The sequence below is a fragment of the Homo sapiens genome, chromosome 16 (genome assembly GCF_000001405.40).
Source record: "Homo sapiens chromosome 16, GRCh38.p14 Primary Assembly".
Taxonomy (NCBI): Eukaryota; Metazoa; Chordata; class Mammalia; order Primates; family Hominidae; genus Homo; species Homo sapiens.
In genome coordinates this window covers 21,638,263-21,654,163 of record NC_000016.10, presented here as the reverse complement: position 1 = coordinate 21,654,163, position 15,901 = coordinate 21,638,263, and the positions used below count along the sequence as shown (strand labels likewise).

Here is a 15,901-nt window from a genome sequence, read left to right as displayed (position 1 = left end):
AGGCTGAGGCAGGAGAATGGTGTGAACCCGGGAGGCGGAGCTTGCAGCGAGCCAAGATCGTGCCACTGCACTCCAGCCTGGGCGACAGAGCGAGACTCTGTCTCAAAAAAAAAAAAAAAAAAAAAAACAAAACAGACTGAGAATAACTTTCTGTTAATGAGAAAATATATCATGAGCAGATGCCAAGGGCACAGACATCATATCATGGTGGGGAGATTTTTCATAATTTTCAGTGGTGCAGATGACGCTCTTCCCATGTCTGGGGAATTGCCTGCCCAGAGTCTGGGAGAGACACAAGGCCTGGGAGCCGCTTTCCTGGCCTGCCGTGCAGCTGAGGCACTGGCACGCAGCCTAAGCCAGGCACACTTGCCCATGCCCTGGAATGGAGAGCCAGTGACCCAGAGTAGTGGGGATGTGAGCTTCTCCTTCTCTGGGGGTGGAGCAATGGCAGTGAGACCAAGGGGCTGGGGCAGTGGTTGAGCGATGCTGACAACAGGGCTGATGGCACCTAGTGTTTGGCAGTGGCAGTAGCATCCTCTTCAGACCTGTTTATGGTGTGATTTGAGGCATTCTTCCTGGCTGTGGACCCCACACAAGATTCACTAGCCCTCCCAGTGACTCTAGGATCTACCTTCAAATGTTTGCATAAATTTCCTTTTAAGTCAGCCTGAGTCTGTTTCTGCTGCTTTACAAAGAAGACCCTTACTGAATCACCACTAAGTGCTGGGGGAGAGGACACAGAGGACAGAGGGCCCACATATTTGTTTCTCAACACATTAAAAGGGGGTCTTTGGGCCAGGCATGGTGGCTCACACCTGTAATCCTAACACTTTGGGAGGCCAAGGCAGGGGGATCGCTTGAGGGCAGGACTAGCCTAGACAACACAGAATCTACAAAAAAAAAAAAAAATTAGCCAGGGGTGGTGGTGCATGCCTGTAGTCCCAGCTACTCAGGAAGCTGAGGCTGCAATGACCTGCAATCTTGCCACTGCATTCCAGCCTGGGTGATAGAGACCCTGTCAAAAAAGGGGGGAAGGCAGGTGTCTTTGGATTCAAAACTGGAGTACAAAAAGTTAATAACAGACAATTTATTTATTCGCTGCATTAGAATGTGTTGTTTACTAACTTTTCTCATCTCTACACAAAGCCACTTCTCCTTCTGCTGTTCTTTGTTCCCAGCAGTTACTGGCCCAGAGTGGCACCCAGAGCAGGTACCCTAGACAGTGACTGAACTGTTCTGAAAAATCCAAGTACGAATTATTTGTCAAACAATACTCCTTCCTGGAAATATGTGCTAGGTGTAAATCAAAATCTCACCCAGAAACATCTAACACCTATGACAACTGTAAAATCCATGGAAAAAAAAAAGATATGCACATTTCTAAATGTGCTCCAGGCCAAAATCTCAATGTTAAATGGTGAAGCCATCCTTGCACAATTTCAAAAAGTTCCTGATTATGGTTCCTTCATAAGAGGTTCCTCTCTTCAGCTCTTCTTCCCTTCTGAAAAAAGAAAGCCAACTTTCCTTTCAAATACACACCCCAACCCGCCCCGGCATACACAGAAATGGGGACTGCGAGCAGAAGCAACATCGCTCGCCATCTGCAAACCAATCTCATTCTATTTTGTGTCGGTAAGGTTCTTTTTCTTCTCCTCCTTCATTTTATTTAAATCAACTGCTATTTTTCACCTAATGCATTTATATTTTAAGCTCCTTCAGATTAATTTTTAAATGTATAACATTATGAAAACTGCCTAAGAGGATAAGTTTCCTTTTTCCCCTGAGAAATAGACAATAAAAAAATAGCTGAGAAAAAGTTTCATATTAACCTTGAAAAGTCTCTTTGCTATTATGCTAATTGGAGACAATCTGACCAAAGGGTTGAAAATATTCTTAAAATCGTAGGTATAAGTTATCAATAATTTAATTATCATACAAACTTGATCTGCACATAGAAAGCAATAAATGATTATTTGCTGAATATTTTCAAAGAACAATTTCTATAAAAGTACTTTTCATTTAAGAAAAAAAAAACTGCCATGACTCCAATAGCCATCCCATAGTATATCTATTTTTAAAATTCTGTCTACTTCTGTTTTTTTATCTATGAAAGAGAAAGGATTTCCAATACATCTAGTAATCTCAGATTTGCCCACACAATTTGGATTATAGGGCAGGGAAGGGGGGAAAGTTCTTAATTTTTTCTCATCTGTGAAGAAATATATCAAAATGTTAATGGGAGTTATTTCAGGCAAAAGGACTATGGGTGACTTTTTGCTTCTACTTTTAATAACCTGTTTTTTGCTAATAAGTATATATTACTTTCATAGACTATTTTAATTAGCATTATTTTAAAGAAGAATTCCTGTCTTTTAGAGATATATTCTGAAAGATGCAGATAAAATGGCTGGGATTTGCTCTAAAATAATATGGGAGTGAGGGAGTAGGTGGGAGGAGAAAAGAAACAAGATTGGGTCGAAGCCATGTGATGGCAGGGGGTTGACTGTACTACTTCGCTACTTTGATATGTTAGAAATTTGAAATCTAATATAATAAAGCTTTGGGCTGGGCGTGGTGGTTCATGCCTGTAATCCCAGCACTTTGGGGGCCAAGGTGAGAGGATCACTTGAGCTCAGGAGTTCAAGACCAGCATGAACAACATAATGAGACCCCCATTTCTACACAAGAAAAAAAAATAGCTGGGCGTGATGGCACCTGCACTGCACCTGCAGTCCCACCCACCTGGGAGGCTGAGGCAGGAGGATCACTTGAGCCCAGGACTTTCAGGCTATAGGGAGCTGTGATTGTGCCACTGCACTCCAGCCTGGGCAACAGAGCAAGACATTTACTTACTTCTTACTTACTAGATAGAGAGACAGCTTTGTTTAAATGTCAAGAATTAGTTCTCTTCCTACTTTCAATATGGCTTTTTTGTTTGTTTGAGACGGAGTCTCGCTCTGTCACCCAGGCTGGAGTGCAGTGGCAAGATCTCGGCTCACTGCAAGCTCCGCCTCCCGGGTTCACGCCATTCTCCTGCCTCAGCCTCCCGAGTAGCTGGGACTACAGGCATCTGCCACCACACCCGGCTAATTTTTTGTATTTTTAGTAGAGACAGCGTTTCACCGTGTTAGCCAGGATGGTCTCGATCTCCTGACCTCGTGATCCGCCCGCCTCGGCCTCCCATAATGCTGGGATTACAGGCATGAGCCACCATGCCCAGCCTCAATATGGTTTTTTAAAATAATAAGAATAATCTTTCTATTCCCTCCATGGAGGAAATAAATCTTCAACCTTTTCATTGGATACTGTGTTTAAAAAACAATTCCTAGAATATGAGGATTCTTAAAAGAAATCATTCACAGAAGCAGGCTGTGGTGTGACATATCCAAACTTCTCTTTTTTGTTAATAGGTTGCCTAACTGGTTGGGGGAGGGAACCACAGTTTCATCACAAGTTCCTGCTCACAGAGGAAATCATTACAATTGGTTTTCTCCCACACATAGCCTAATTGGGAAGAAGGTGGAAATAAGTAGAGATATGAAATTCCAAAGTTACAAATACCTGTTTTTATCCTATACTACTAGTTTTTAAAGAAAAGTGTTGAAAGTCAGCTATCCCCGCCACCCCAACCTCTATTTTTTTTTTTTTTTTTTTTGAGACAAGAGTCTCACTCTGTCACCCAGGCTAGAGTGCAGTGGCACAATCTCAGCTCACTGCAACCTCCACCTCCTACGTTCAAGCGATTCTCCTGCTTCAGCCTCCCAAGTAGCTGGGATTACAGGCGTCCACCACCACACCTGGCTAATTTTTTGTATTTTTAGTAAAGATGGGGTTTTACCATGTTGGCCAGGCTAGTCTCGAACGCCTGACCTCAGGTGATCTGCCCGCCTCGGCATCCCAAAGTGCTGGGATTACAGGCGTGAGCCACCATGCCCAGCCTCTATTCCTTTTATAGAGACAGGATCTCACAATGCTGCCCAGGCTGGAGTGCACGTCCAGACTCTATTCCTTTAATAGAGACAGGGACTCACAATGCTGCCCAGGCTGGAGTGCAGTGGTGCCATCACAGCTCACTGCAGCCTGGAATTCCTGGGCTCAATCAGCCTCCGGTCTCAGCCTCCTGAGTAGCTGTGACTAATGGCCACACCACCACGCCTGGCTCTTTGGCTTCCCTTTTAAAAACACTACCCAATTTGGAAGGCTGAGGCGAGTGGATTGCTTGAGCCCAGGAGTTTAAGACCAGGCTGGCCAACATCGCAAAACCCTGTCTCTACTAAAAATAAAAAAATTAGCCAGGCGTGGTGGTGCACACCTATAGTCTCAGCTACTCCAGAGGCTGCAGTGAGAGGATTGCTTGAGCCCAGAAGACAAAGGCTACAGTAAGTTAGCCAAGATCACACCACTGCATTCCAGTTTGGGCGACACAGTGGGACCCTATCTCAAAAATAAAAATGTGTAAATAATGGAATCGTCCACTTTTTAAAAATAATTTTACAAATAAAAATAAAAACATTATCTGAAAGATGACTTGAGACTGAGACAGTGCTTAACTTTGCTAAGTTTTGGCAGACCCAATTCCATTTTAAATTTCCACTCAGTATATACTATAAAATGTTTCACTGTACTTGTAAGGTGCTTGAGTCTGGGCAGGAGACATGAGGTTGTATTTCTCAGACTTGAGAGGGAATCCAATCCCCTTGGCTGGAGATGGAGCTGAGCTGGGCCTCCCACAGACACGAAGCTCAGAGAAGCTTGCAGGCCTCCTCCAGGTGACTGCACCCTCTTGTCTGGTTTGCATTTATCAGGTCACCACAGAGCTCCCAGCTCATCTCATGTTGCACAAATACTAAAATATAACATGATGAGAAGAGAGCAAGGCGCAGTGGCTCACACCTGTAATCCCAGCACTTTGGAAGGCCGAGGCAAGCGGGTCGCTTGAGTTTAGGGGTGCAAGATCAGCCTAGGTAACAAGGTGAAACCCTGTCTCTACAAAAAATACAAAAATTAGCTGGGCACAGTGCTGCAGGCCTACAGTCCCAGCTACTTTTGAGAAGCTAAGGCAGGATGATGGCTTGAACCTGGGAGGTCACAGTTGCAGTGTGCCGTGATTGCACCATTGCACTCCAGCCTGGGAGACAGAGACTCTGTCCAAAAACAATAACAAAAATGAAAACAAAAACAAAAAAACATGGTGAGAAGAGACTCGCATCACAAACGCCATGATTCTAACTTTAATTCCTCTGCTGTTATGAATGGGGATCCATAAGAGAAACGCTAAGAGAAAAAAGCCCCTGTCTGAAAATTAAGCATCAGACCACTTGGATGACTTTTCAGTTTCATTTACAGTAGCAAAGGACAAACTCACACAAATAGGACCATTTGGGAATATATGACCAGGCGGAACTCAGACCAAAAACTTGACAAATTCCAATTTGTCTCAACCAATACTATTTTACCTATGGCCTCCCCTGCCGCAAAAGAAGGGTTTAGGGCGGGTCTTTCCATTTGTGCACTCGAGTGGCTTTCCAGCTTCACATGCCTGGGATATAAAGGCCAAGGTGGGGGACTCAATCCTCATAACTTGGAAGAGCACCACATGGTGGACAGTACACTGGAGTGGGTGACTAATCCCAGCTCTGTGAACACCTTGTGGCTAGACGTCCACAACCATCTCTCCAACAGCCATCTGACACTGTGGGAACAGTAGCAGTGGCGGCTGCAGCAGCAATCGCTCCCTTGTATTTAATACTTACTATAGCTTAGGCAGGTAAACACTTCCTAGGCATCATCTTGAACGTCACACTAACTGCATGAGGTCAACAATACTATCCCCATTTTCTAATGAGGAAACTGAGATACTGAGATTATAATGCTGGGAACAGGCAGAGCTAGGATTTGAACTCAAGTCTGTGCTCTTTATCACAATATTGTTAATTAAATAAGATAAATGCTACAAGGGCCTACAAAGCAGCACACACGCCAGGGAGAAACCAAATCTGCTTAGCTATGGCCTGGCGAGCTCATATGGTCCCTGCTCAGTAATCAAAGACATGGTAGGCTAAGCCAGGGCTGCATTTCCACAGGTGTACATGTTGCCTTTTATCATGTTTCCCAAAGGGACACCAGGCTCACAAAGAAACAATTGTGAATGGCCATGAATTCCTGGCGATCTCAACTCCCACAAAGCACAAACATCGCTGCTGCTCATAGGCTCCATCAGCGGCAGCAACGTTCGTCTGGGGACACAGGTTACCACACTGAACACAGCACTCTGGGGAGGCCAGGGTGCGGACAAGAAAGCAGGCAGGAGATTAAGTGATTGGATCGAAGGAAAGCTTGTAAGGAGCAAGAGTCACAGATGGACCCCAAACTTCTGAGTCCAATACGGTGCCACCTCTATGCAGGCCTCCTGCACAGGGACTCTGTTCCCCTGAAGCCTCTCTAGGGCTGGCCTCCAGTGAACAGACATCATGTGACCCAGCAGGTCAAGGTCAGAAAACAGGAGGAGTTGGGGCAAGTGAGGACCACTGGTGTTTATTTTTAGTCTTATTTATATTGGGATTAAGGTAAGAAAAATAACAGAATGGCTGGGTTTCCTACCTCAAAAATATAATAAAAGCACAAAGTGAGGTGGCAGGCCCATTAACCCACTCATCTGCTTCCTCCCACAGGTGCTGTGGGCGCCTGTACTCTCTCTGTCACACAACCGTGGTACCTAGAAGTGGACTACACTCATGAGGCCGTCACCATAAAGTGTACCTTCTCCGCAACCGGATGCCCTTCTGAGCAACCAACATGCCTGTGGTTTCGCTACGGTGCTCACCAGCCTGAGAACCTGTGCTTGGACGGGTGCAAAAGTGAGGCAGACAAGTTCACAGTGAGGGAGGCCCTCAAAGAAAACCAAGTTTCCCTCACTGTAAACAGAGTGACTTCAAATGACAGTGCAATTTACATCTGTGGAATAGCATTCCCCAGTGTGCCGGAAGCGAGAGCTAAACAGACAGGAGGAGGGACCACACTGGTGGTAAGAGGTCAGTCAGCGAGGCTTTATTTCAGTGCATCATTGCATCTTGTTCAGGCCTGTAAAATCATTACCTCACTCACATGTAGAAATCAGGAGATAAATTTGCTAAGTTAATACCCTAGCCAGTGATGGGTGTGATCTGAACACAAGTCACCATGAGGTTTGGACTAAAGAACTACTCCAACTGGCTGGGCGTGGTGGCTCACACCTGTAATCCCAGCACTTTGAGGCTGAGGTGGACGAATCACTTGAGGTCAGGAGTTCAAGACTAGCCTGGCCAACATGGTGAAACCCCATCTCTACTCAAAATACAAAAATTAGCCGCGCATGGTGGCATGCACCTGTAGTCCCAGCTGCTTGGGAGGTTGAGGCAGGAGAATCGCTTGTAACCCAGGAGGCGAAGGTTGCAGTGAACCGAGATCGCACTACTGCACTCCAGTCTGGGCAACAAAGCAAGACTCCATCTCAGAAAAACAAAAGAACTACTCCAATCCATCTCGAACATCCACTAACACAAAGTCAGTGATTTGCTGGGTGCTCTATTCTCCCTACATGGTGATGTTTAACCAACCATGTTCACCTCTTTTGTATATTACAGTGATTTAGTGTAAAGTACCATGTCCAAAGGGAACCTTGTGGTGAGTAACTATCAGCTTTCTCAGGAACTAGTCTGGTAATGCACCACCTAGAACAAAGCACTAGAGAAGTGTAAAAGATCAATAAATTGGACCCACAGAAACTATGCAACATGGAGAATAAGCACAGATTTGGAGAGAAGCTACTCAGGGATCCCTGACCCTTCCCATTCTGCCTGGACATCAGTGAACGGAAAGTGATGACTCTCACTTCCTGAGATTTGATAAAACCCATGACAATTCCTCAGCCGAGCGAGGACATCAAACATAGCTAAATCCTATCAGTAATTTCACCAAGTCATTCCCTTGAGTAAACTGAGATTAAGACATTCCCGAGAAAAAAAAAGGGGGAATTTCAGAGAAAAAGCTTTACATGATTCTGAAGGAAAAAAGAGAACAGCAGCAACTCCTCGCCTTGTTGGGGTCTCTTCCCTTAGGAAGGACCCTGGTATGATGAGCAGAGATTGTTAAAACATGAACTCAAAATCAACCAGCCCTTCGATTTCAAAATAGGACTCTGAGGAAGGGAGACCATCCAGTATTATAACCTGTGCTTTTAAACTACGAGGGTTCTAATGGGCTTTTGATATTCAAATGTCATTTAACCTTAGTTTATTCTCATCTGTCAGCTAAATTATAAATAAGTTAAGGCACTTAAAGCATTTTTAATAGTGCCTGGCATATAGCAAATAACAAATGTTAGCTACTGATATGAAAACACACACAGCTTTAGAGATTTGTATGTCTCACTGCATTAGCCTTCTAAAAACATGTTAGTCAAAGGGAAAAATGGCTTGTAAAAAGATGAAGGTCTCAAAGCTGCAAGGCTTATATAAAGTGAAGTGAAAGTGAAAGGCAGAATTGAAAGTGTTAAGGCAGACATGGCAACTTCCTGTCTCTTCTACAGAACTCCTATTTTCACACTGAAGCTTTTTTATTTTAGTTGTATAGATGTGGTTAATTTGTTAGTTTCACAAATAAAAATGTATGCTGCATAAACTGCATTCACAGGATAAGCATCTATGGGATTTTTCTTTCTTTTTTTTTAAGACAAGAGTCTTGCTCTGTCGCCCGGGCTGGAGTGCCGTGGCGTGATCTCAGCTCACTGCAACCAACCTCCACCTTCCGGGTTCAAGCGATTCTCCTGCCTCAACCTCCTGAGTAGCTGGGATTACAGGCATGTGCGACCACGCCCAGCTAATTTTGGTATTTTTAGTAGAGATGGGGTTTCGCCATGTTGGCCAGGCTGGTGTCAAACTCCTGATCTCAAGTGATCTGCCCACCTCGGCCTCTCAAAGTGCTGGGATTACAGGCATGAGCCATCACACTCAGTCTCATCTATGGGATATTTAGTTGGAAAGTACAGGCTATTCAGACAGTAAGTACAAATCTAATTGTATTTTGTACTCCAAATAGTCAGGTAATTGAAGACATGGCATGTTACTTAATCCCTACCCAGAGCACAAGACAATTTCTGCAAGGAGAGAGAAATTCCGAATGTGAAAATGGATTCAATAACTCTATTTCCAGAATTTTATCATAAAGAAAGAAGAGCACATTTGGCAAAAGTGCCTGTCTTTCAAGCACGCAGTGAGCACTGCGCTCCTCAATGTATGGCCTTCCCAGGTTCTTTCACAGATGGGACTCTTCAGCTATGTGTACTAGTTCCAAGGCTATAAATATCACCCTTAACAAATACATATGAAAATATCTTAACCACATAGGCAGACTCTTGATGATACTGGTAAACCGTTTCTACCAAAAGAGATTTTAGATGCCCTTGAACAAACTGTCTGGAAATGTTTATCTAACTTCAAATAATCCTTTATCTAAAAAGTGATGCTTAGCAATATGACAAATGGTTGGTTGAATTTTTTTAATGTTTAAAAACGAGTAACATTTTTGGTTTAACACATTTAAAGAACTGATGAACTGGCTTTAACTATTACATACTTGAGTACCTTTTGAGGTCTAGTTTTTATACGAATAGGCAAGCAGAGTAAGTTCACGTTTCACCTCTAAAACGCAGTGTGAAGGATACTTTACACATGTATTTGAAAGAATAGGCTTTAATAGTCAATGTGCTTCTTTCTGTTTTTGTCATTAAGAAATTAAGCTGCTCAGCAAGGAACTGCGGAGCTTCCTGACAGCTCTTGTATCACTGCTCTCTGTCTATGTGACCGGTGTGTGCGTGGCCTTCATACTCCTCTCCAAAGTAAGTCAAATCCTCTTGCATGGAATGTCCCTATATCCTTGAATATTATCAAAAGAAAAATAATTTCTATCTCTCCACAAGTTATGGGCCTCAGCAAGAGCTCCCTAATTAACATTTTCCTGTGCATCTGCAGGGAACACCACCTGCAGAAGAGGTCTTTGGAAGAAGGCATCATACATTCTCATCACTGAAATTATTAGCCAGGGGACATAGTTTGCTGTTTTCTCTTTAAAGCCCAGTAGCATGGGATTAAGAAGAGAGCCATCCACTATGCTATCTTTCTGCTGTAGGGGTGAGGTGTGGGCAGGTGGAGGGCGAGATATTACTGTTATCTACGAAAGCCTTAAGAACAGTCTTTAAGAACAAAAATGGGTTGATGAAGAAACTAAAAGCCGCCTTAAAATCTTCAAAAAGGGCTAAAGTTATTAAAAAAGAATACCTTTTGGCTATGTGTATAAGAAGGGAGATGTATACCATTGTGTTAGGATTACTATAAATCCTACAATCAACGTCAGTTTGTTCAATTAGTTTTTAATGGAGTAAAAGCATCTCAAAAATGATGTAAAAATTAAGTCTCATTGTATATCACTTAAATATTAAGTTAGTTTAATCTTATTAGGGCATGAGATATCTGCCACCATTGTTATGAGTACATAAAATGTTTCATAGACTTTCCTTCTCTTCTTGGCAGTCAAAATCCAACCCTCTAAGAAACAAAGAAATAAAAGAAGACTCACAAAAGGTACAGACCAACACTTGAAAAATATTTTTTAAATTGTGGCTGGTTGTAACGATTTCAAAACTGAAATATTTTTTAGCTTTTAAATATTTAAATGTTAAGTTTAAACAGAATATCAAGGTAACTTTCAACTGCAGACACTATTTCCTATTGTTGAGAAACTCAATGACAAAATAATCTCAAGGGGTAAACTGTGACTTAAATTGGACAGTTCTCAACCATAAATTATATTTAAAGTTCTCAAATACAAAAGAGTTAACTGTAGGCACATATGTGTTGGGGGAGGGGGTAGTTTTTGGGACCGGTGGCAATAGAGCAAGAAAAGTTCTGATGATGCGTCGTTATCATCGCTTATATTCCCAAAAGAGAATTTTTTTTTCTCATTTGTCTTTATAGAAGAAGAGTGCTCGGCGTATTTTTCAGGAAATTGCTCAAGAACTATACCATAAGAGACATGTGGAAACAAATCAGCAATCTGTAAGTGTAAAATGTCAAAAAAAAATGTAAATACAGATATAAAGCACGTTTGAAAAAACTAAGCTGCCAAGGAGCTGTCAAGAACCATGTTTTCCTTCAGAAGAGTCTGAAAGAGAACTTTCACAAGAATGTATTTTTATATAGAACCTGTTTTAATAAATACATAACAAAAGACATCTGATACAATATTAAATAGCCCCAGGCTGGCATCTTAGTGACATGGAAACTTTCAGAAACACATTAGACACGAGCAATGTTTTCAATACAGACAATGATGCTTTAAAAGGATAGATTAAAAGCTACTCTGTACAGTATCCTGCATGCAGTGGTAGGCGTTCAGTAGATACTGCAAATGTTTGTGGGTCAAATTATGAAAAAAAATTACTTGTTACTTATAAGGCAAAAATAAATTCACATTAGAAAAGATGCAGCTAATGATATTAAAAAACAAGTATTTCTCCAGTGTCTGGAGTTGAACTGAAAAGAATACATGTATATCTATAATACATCCTGAAAGTATTCCTTTAAAGTCTTATATAAACAGGTTCTTCAAACAAAATATTATCTTAATGCCAATAGAACAGATACTTTGTTTCCATGATGCATGATGAGATAGCTCAAATAAGCTAAAATGTATACAAAATAAGGTTAATTTATTTTTATTTATTTTTTAAAATTTATGGAATGCTTCACAAATTTGCATGTCATCTTTGTGTAGGGGCCATGCTAATCTTCTCTGTATCATTCCAATTTTAGTGTAAGTGCTGCCAAAGCGAGCACAAAATAAGCTGAACTGATAAACTAGTAAAGATATTTTCCTCTTAAACAGCAGCCAAGAGGGCAAATGCATCAGGAGACTGAAATAAGGCGATTTTTTTAAGTCCAACTTTTACTTTAATTGTTTTCTTTTTAAAAAAATATGGAACGCTTCACGAACTTGTGTGTCATCCTTGCCCAGGGGCCATGCTAATCTTCTCTATATTGTTCCAATTTTAGTGTATGTGCTGCCAAAGCAAGCGCTAAAAATCTAACTTTCACAAAGGATTTTTGCCAAGGAAAGAATATTGTCTAAGTAGTCGTTTCATCCTACAGTGTATATATGAATACATAAAGATAGGTGGTCTAATTACTAAGATGCCATGCTGAGTAATTACAAATCATTTTTCTTTCTGAGGCTGGGACATGTTTTCAACAACAAGGCCGAGGTATGTGGCCTGAAAGCAGTCTTAGAAGTGAGAATTGTAAAGCTCCCAGCCACGATTTTGACAGTAGCATCCAAACAAAAAAAAAAAGTATTTTTCAGTTCCCACATCCTACTCTAAATACGGATGGGGAAAACGGTAATCTGGCCTTTAAGATTACCATATGGACACTTAGGACCCAGAATCCAAGATGGCCCAGTGGTTTGCATGTTCCTTGGCAGTTGGCTTCATTGGTTACATAACCTTAAACATGGCTTTCTATTTATTTATTATTGCAGGAGAAAGATAACAACACTTATGAAAACAGAAGAGTACTTTCCAACTATGAAAGGCCATAGAAACGTTTTAATTTTCAATGAAGTCACTGAAAATCCAACTCCAGGAGCTATGGCAGTGTTAATGAACATATATCATCAGGTCTTAAAAAAAAATAAAGGTAAACTGAAAAGACAACTGGCTACAAAGAAGGATGTCAGAATGTAAGGAAACTATAACTAATAGTCATTACCAAAATACTAAAACCCAACAAAATGCAACTGAAAAATACCTTCCAAATTTGCCAAGAAAAAAAATTCTATTTTAAACTTGTATCCTGAGTCTGTTTCATTCAACATGAGATGTGTGATGACTGCCATCCTGAAGATCTGAAGCCAAACCATGTGCCTCAGTCTTGAGTGGAAGAATCACCTTTATGGTTTGTGGAAATCATGGCACAATTAAAATAAGTTGGGAGGGACAACGTGACAAAATTTGAGTTAGAGACATTCATTTTGAAAAGCACCTTAGTAAAGTTATTTCCTCTGATGTTGTAATGGGGCAGTGGGGTAACGCACATTTGCCTGCCAGGGTATGCAAAGTAACTTACATCATGCTATCAGCAAAATGAGAATAATATAGTGGCTAGAGTAAGACCATAAAAGCCAAAATACAGAAAATCCAAAGCTGAAGGTTAAACAGAGGTAACTTCAGAACAAATAAGCCACAACGGACTCTAGATGTCAGTGTTGTGCCAAATAACAGCACCAGGGAAGATGTGGGCAACACATCTACTTTACAAGCACGTTTGTAATACTGATTTTTTTTCTTTTCTTTTTTTTTTTTTTTTGAGACAGAGTCTCGTTCTGTTGCCCAGGGTGGAGTGCAGTGGTGCAATCTCGGCTCACTACAACCTCCACCTCCCGGGTTCATGCCATTCTTCTGCCTCAGTTTCCCAAGTAGCTGGGATTACAGGTACGCACCACCACGCCCGGCTAATTTTTTTTTTTTTTTTTTTTTGTATTTTTAGTAGAGACGGGGTTTCACCATGTTGGCCAGGCTGGTCTCAAACTCAAGACCTCAGATGATCTGCCTGAAATGGCCTCCCAAAGTGCTGGGATTACAGGCGTGAGCCACCGCGCACAGTCTATAATACTGATTTTTAACCAATTTAGGAGGGAAATGTCAGATAGGAGGCATGGTACAAGGATATTTATGGAATTCATTACCACTTCACTAAGAAAACATGATATAAATTGTCCTTTGAAAGCTACTTTGGTATAAAAAAATCTAAAGTGCCCATAAGTATGCATTCATTATTAGACACAAATTACAACCTTACAACCTACTATGTTTATTTCATTAAAGTGTCTCTTTTAGGCCGGGTGTGGTGGCTCACGCCTGTAATCCCAACACTTTGGGAGGCTGAGGCAGGTGAATCATGAGATCAGGAGTTCGAGACCAGCCTGAACAACATGATGAAACCCGTCTCTACTAAAAATACAAAAAAATTTAGCGGGGTTTGGTGGCACACACCTGTAATCCCAGCTATTTGGGAGGCTGAGGCAGGAGATCACTTGAACCCAGGATGCGGAGGTTGCAGTGAGCTGAGATCACGCCACTGCACCCCAGCCTAGGTGACAGAGCAAGACTGTCTCAAAAATAAATAAATAAATAAATAAATAAATAAAATAAAGTGTTTCTTTTAAACTGGTATTGCCTAAGGTGTATTCTTTATAAAACTTAGAATTGTTAAATATTTTAAGATTCCTTTGAAAGTGTTTTTGCATTGATGGTTTAAATCAGTGATATCAAACTTTCCTGATCCTATGTGCCCAGAAAAATGGGCAGGGGAAAGGAGGCAGCATGGAACCTCATTTTTTTGTGTGTATCTGTGTGTACACGTGAGTGCACATGTGTATATGTGTGGGGCCACATGTGTTTTGTATACGGTATATGCATGAAAATGTACCTTTGTACCTTATACACAAAAACAAATTAAACAATGGCATAAGCAGCAATATAAATAAAAAATGCTAATACTTTCCTGCCATATTCCAAAATAAACTGTCTTGTGTACTCTGCAGTGTGTACTTCCCCACTCTGAGACCACTAGCTCAGGTAAAGTAATGAGCTTCTAAGCCAGACTGCAAAAAAGGGCAAGCACTAATACCATCGAAATGAACAGAAGTGTTGAATTCGATCATTTGCTTTTCATTTCTGGGAGTCATTACATTTTGGTACTGAATTCCAGGACTGAAAATACACTGTTCATTGTCTAACCAGGAGACAAAATCCCTCAGATAAACTAGTATTTGACTCACAATATGCCTTTCCCATGTAAGCAAGGACCGTGTTTCAAAGATTGATTTTGAAGCTGAAATACGGAATATACTTTCGCAAAGAGTTCCATTCCTCTAGGTCTTATATAAGAATATCTGGTGTATACACAGTATTCATTCATTTATTCATCTATCTCACCAAAAGTATATATTTTCAAACTTCAAAATAAGTTTTATTTGGGAAGAGTTTCTTATTTTGTTAAAGCTACAAGCAAGTTTCTTTCCCAATTACACTTCTAGAGATCTTAGCAGTTTCAGAGATTTCAGTGTTCAAAAGTATATTTCAAAATTAACAACAAAACCAAACCCACACCAAAAGGAAATAGCTTTGAGATTAGTTTGGGATGTACAGTCATTGATTTCAGGCGCCAACACTATTTACTGAGTGCTACACTATACAATCAAAGGCCTCTTTTGCAAACTATCCTCGGGTCATACTGAACTTGCTCCACCCCCACACAAACCTTACTCACACCTTCATGCTTTTGCACATGCTGTTCCCCTCAGCCTGGTAAAATGCTTCAGACTACAAACACAGCTCACCTCAACATGAAACCTTCCCTAACTCACCCACAGGCTAACAGATCTATTCGTCTCTAATTCTTCAGTACTTAGTTTGACATATTTCTTACCACAATTTCCTGCCATTATCTGTTTCTATCTATATTGTGTACTATTCTGTGTTTTAAGAGCAAAAGCGTGATTCTCATTTATCTTTATATTTCCACTTGGTACACAGTAGGCCCTCAAATGCCTTCTATAAATGCAATTGAACAATGTTTCTATAGAAAAATGTTCCTTCAGCATTTAAATTGAGATATGTAGCATACTTCAGTCCCTCACCATGAAGCTTCACCCCTTTCCATAAAGACCATTCAACAAACCCCAACAGTACTAATTGTCCTGCTATCTGAGCATCCAGAAAAGAATTAAACTGCAACTTTTTCTTTCTTCTTGAGATGGAGTTTTGCTCTTGACGCTCAGGCTGGAGTACAATGGCGTGATCTCGGCT

General features: G+C 41.1%; 2 protein-coding genes, 1 long non-coding RNA gene and 2 pseudogenes across 6 annotated transcripts in view, besides 1 other annotated feature; 1 reads left to right on the top strand and 4 right to left on the bottom strand.

Annotated features, from left to right (window-relative positions):
* Nucleotides 1–15,901, bottom strand: part of METTL9 (methyltransferase 9, His-X-His N1(pi)-histidine) — a 60,264-nt gene that overhangs the window by 3,308 nt on the left and 41,055 nt on the right. The window lies entirely within an intron of this gene.
* Nucleotides 1,556–14,614, top strand: IGSF6 (immunoglobulin superfamily member 6). The gene is made up of 6 exons (NM_005849.4): nucleotides 1,556–1,632; nucleotides 6,672–7,031; nucleotides 9,768–9,874; nucleotides 10,566–10,616; nucleotides 11,010–11,090; nucleotides 12,571–14,614. The coding sequence occupies exons 1-6, from the start codon at nucleotides 1,566–1,568 to the stop codon at nucleotides 12,628–12,630; spliced, it is 726 nt and encodes a 241-aa protein (NP_005840.2). The 5' UTR covers nucleotides 1,556–1,565; the 3' UTR covers nucleotides 12,631–14,614.
* On the bottom strand, nucleotides 6,697–9,768 carry LOC124903663 (uncharacterized). Its single transcript, XR_007065025.1, has 2 exons — nucleotides 8,988–9,768; nucleotides 6,697–7,232 (listed from the first exon to the last, which is right to left on the bottom strand). It is a non-coding gene; the product is annotated as an uncharacterized LOC124903663 (long non-coding RNA).
* Nucleotides 8,439–8,618: an enhancer, noted in NCBI's record as "active region_10558". NCBI's record gives its function as "activates an Ori minimal core promoter by ATAC-STARR-seq in GM12878 lymphoblastoid cells {active_cell/tissue: GM12878}" and the evidence as "EXISTENCE:reporter gene assay evidence [ECO:0000049][PMID:35858748]".
* On the bottom strand, nucleotides 11,764–11,870 carry RNU6-196P (RNA, U6 small nuclear 196, pseudogene; annotated as a pseudogene).
* RNU6-1005P (RNA, U6 small nuclear 1005, pseudogene) lies at nucleotides 12,004–12,110 on the bottom strand (annotated as a pseudogene).

What these genes read in the sequence shown, in the direction of transcription:
- IGSF6 (NM_005849.4), top strand. Translation starts at nt 1,566, where the DNA reads ATGGGGACTGCGAGCAGAAGCAACATCGCTCGCCATCTGCAAACCAAT. An exon ending in GACCACACTGGTGGTAAGAG is followed by an intron (nt 7,032 to 9,767) that starts GTCAGTCAGCGA and finishes TTTGTCATTAAG; the next exon opens with AAATTAAGCTGCTCAGCAAG. An exon ending in CCTTCATACTCCTCTCCAAA is followed by an intron (nt 9,875 to 10,565) that starts GTAAGTCAAATC and finishes TCTTCTTGGCAG; the next exon opens with TCAAAATCCAACCCTCTAAG.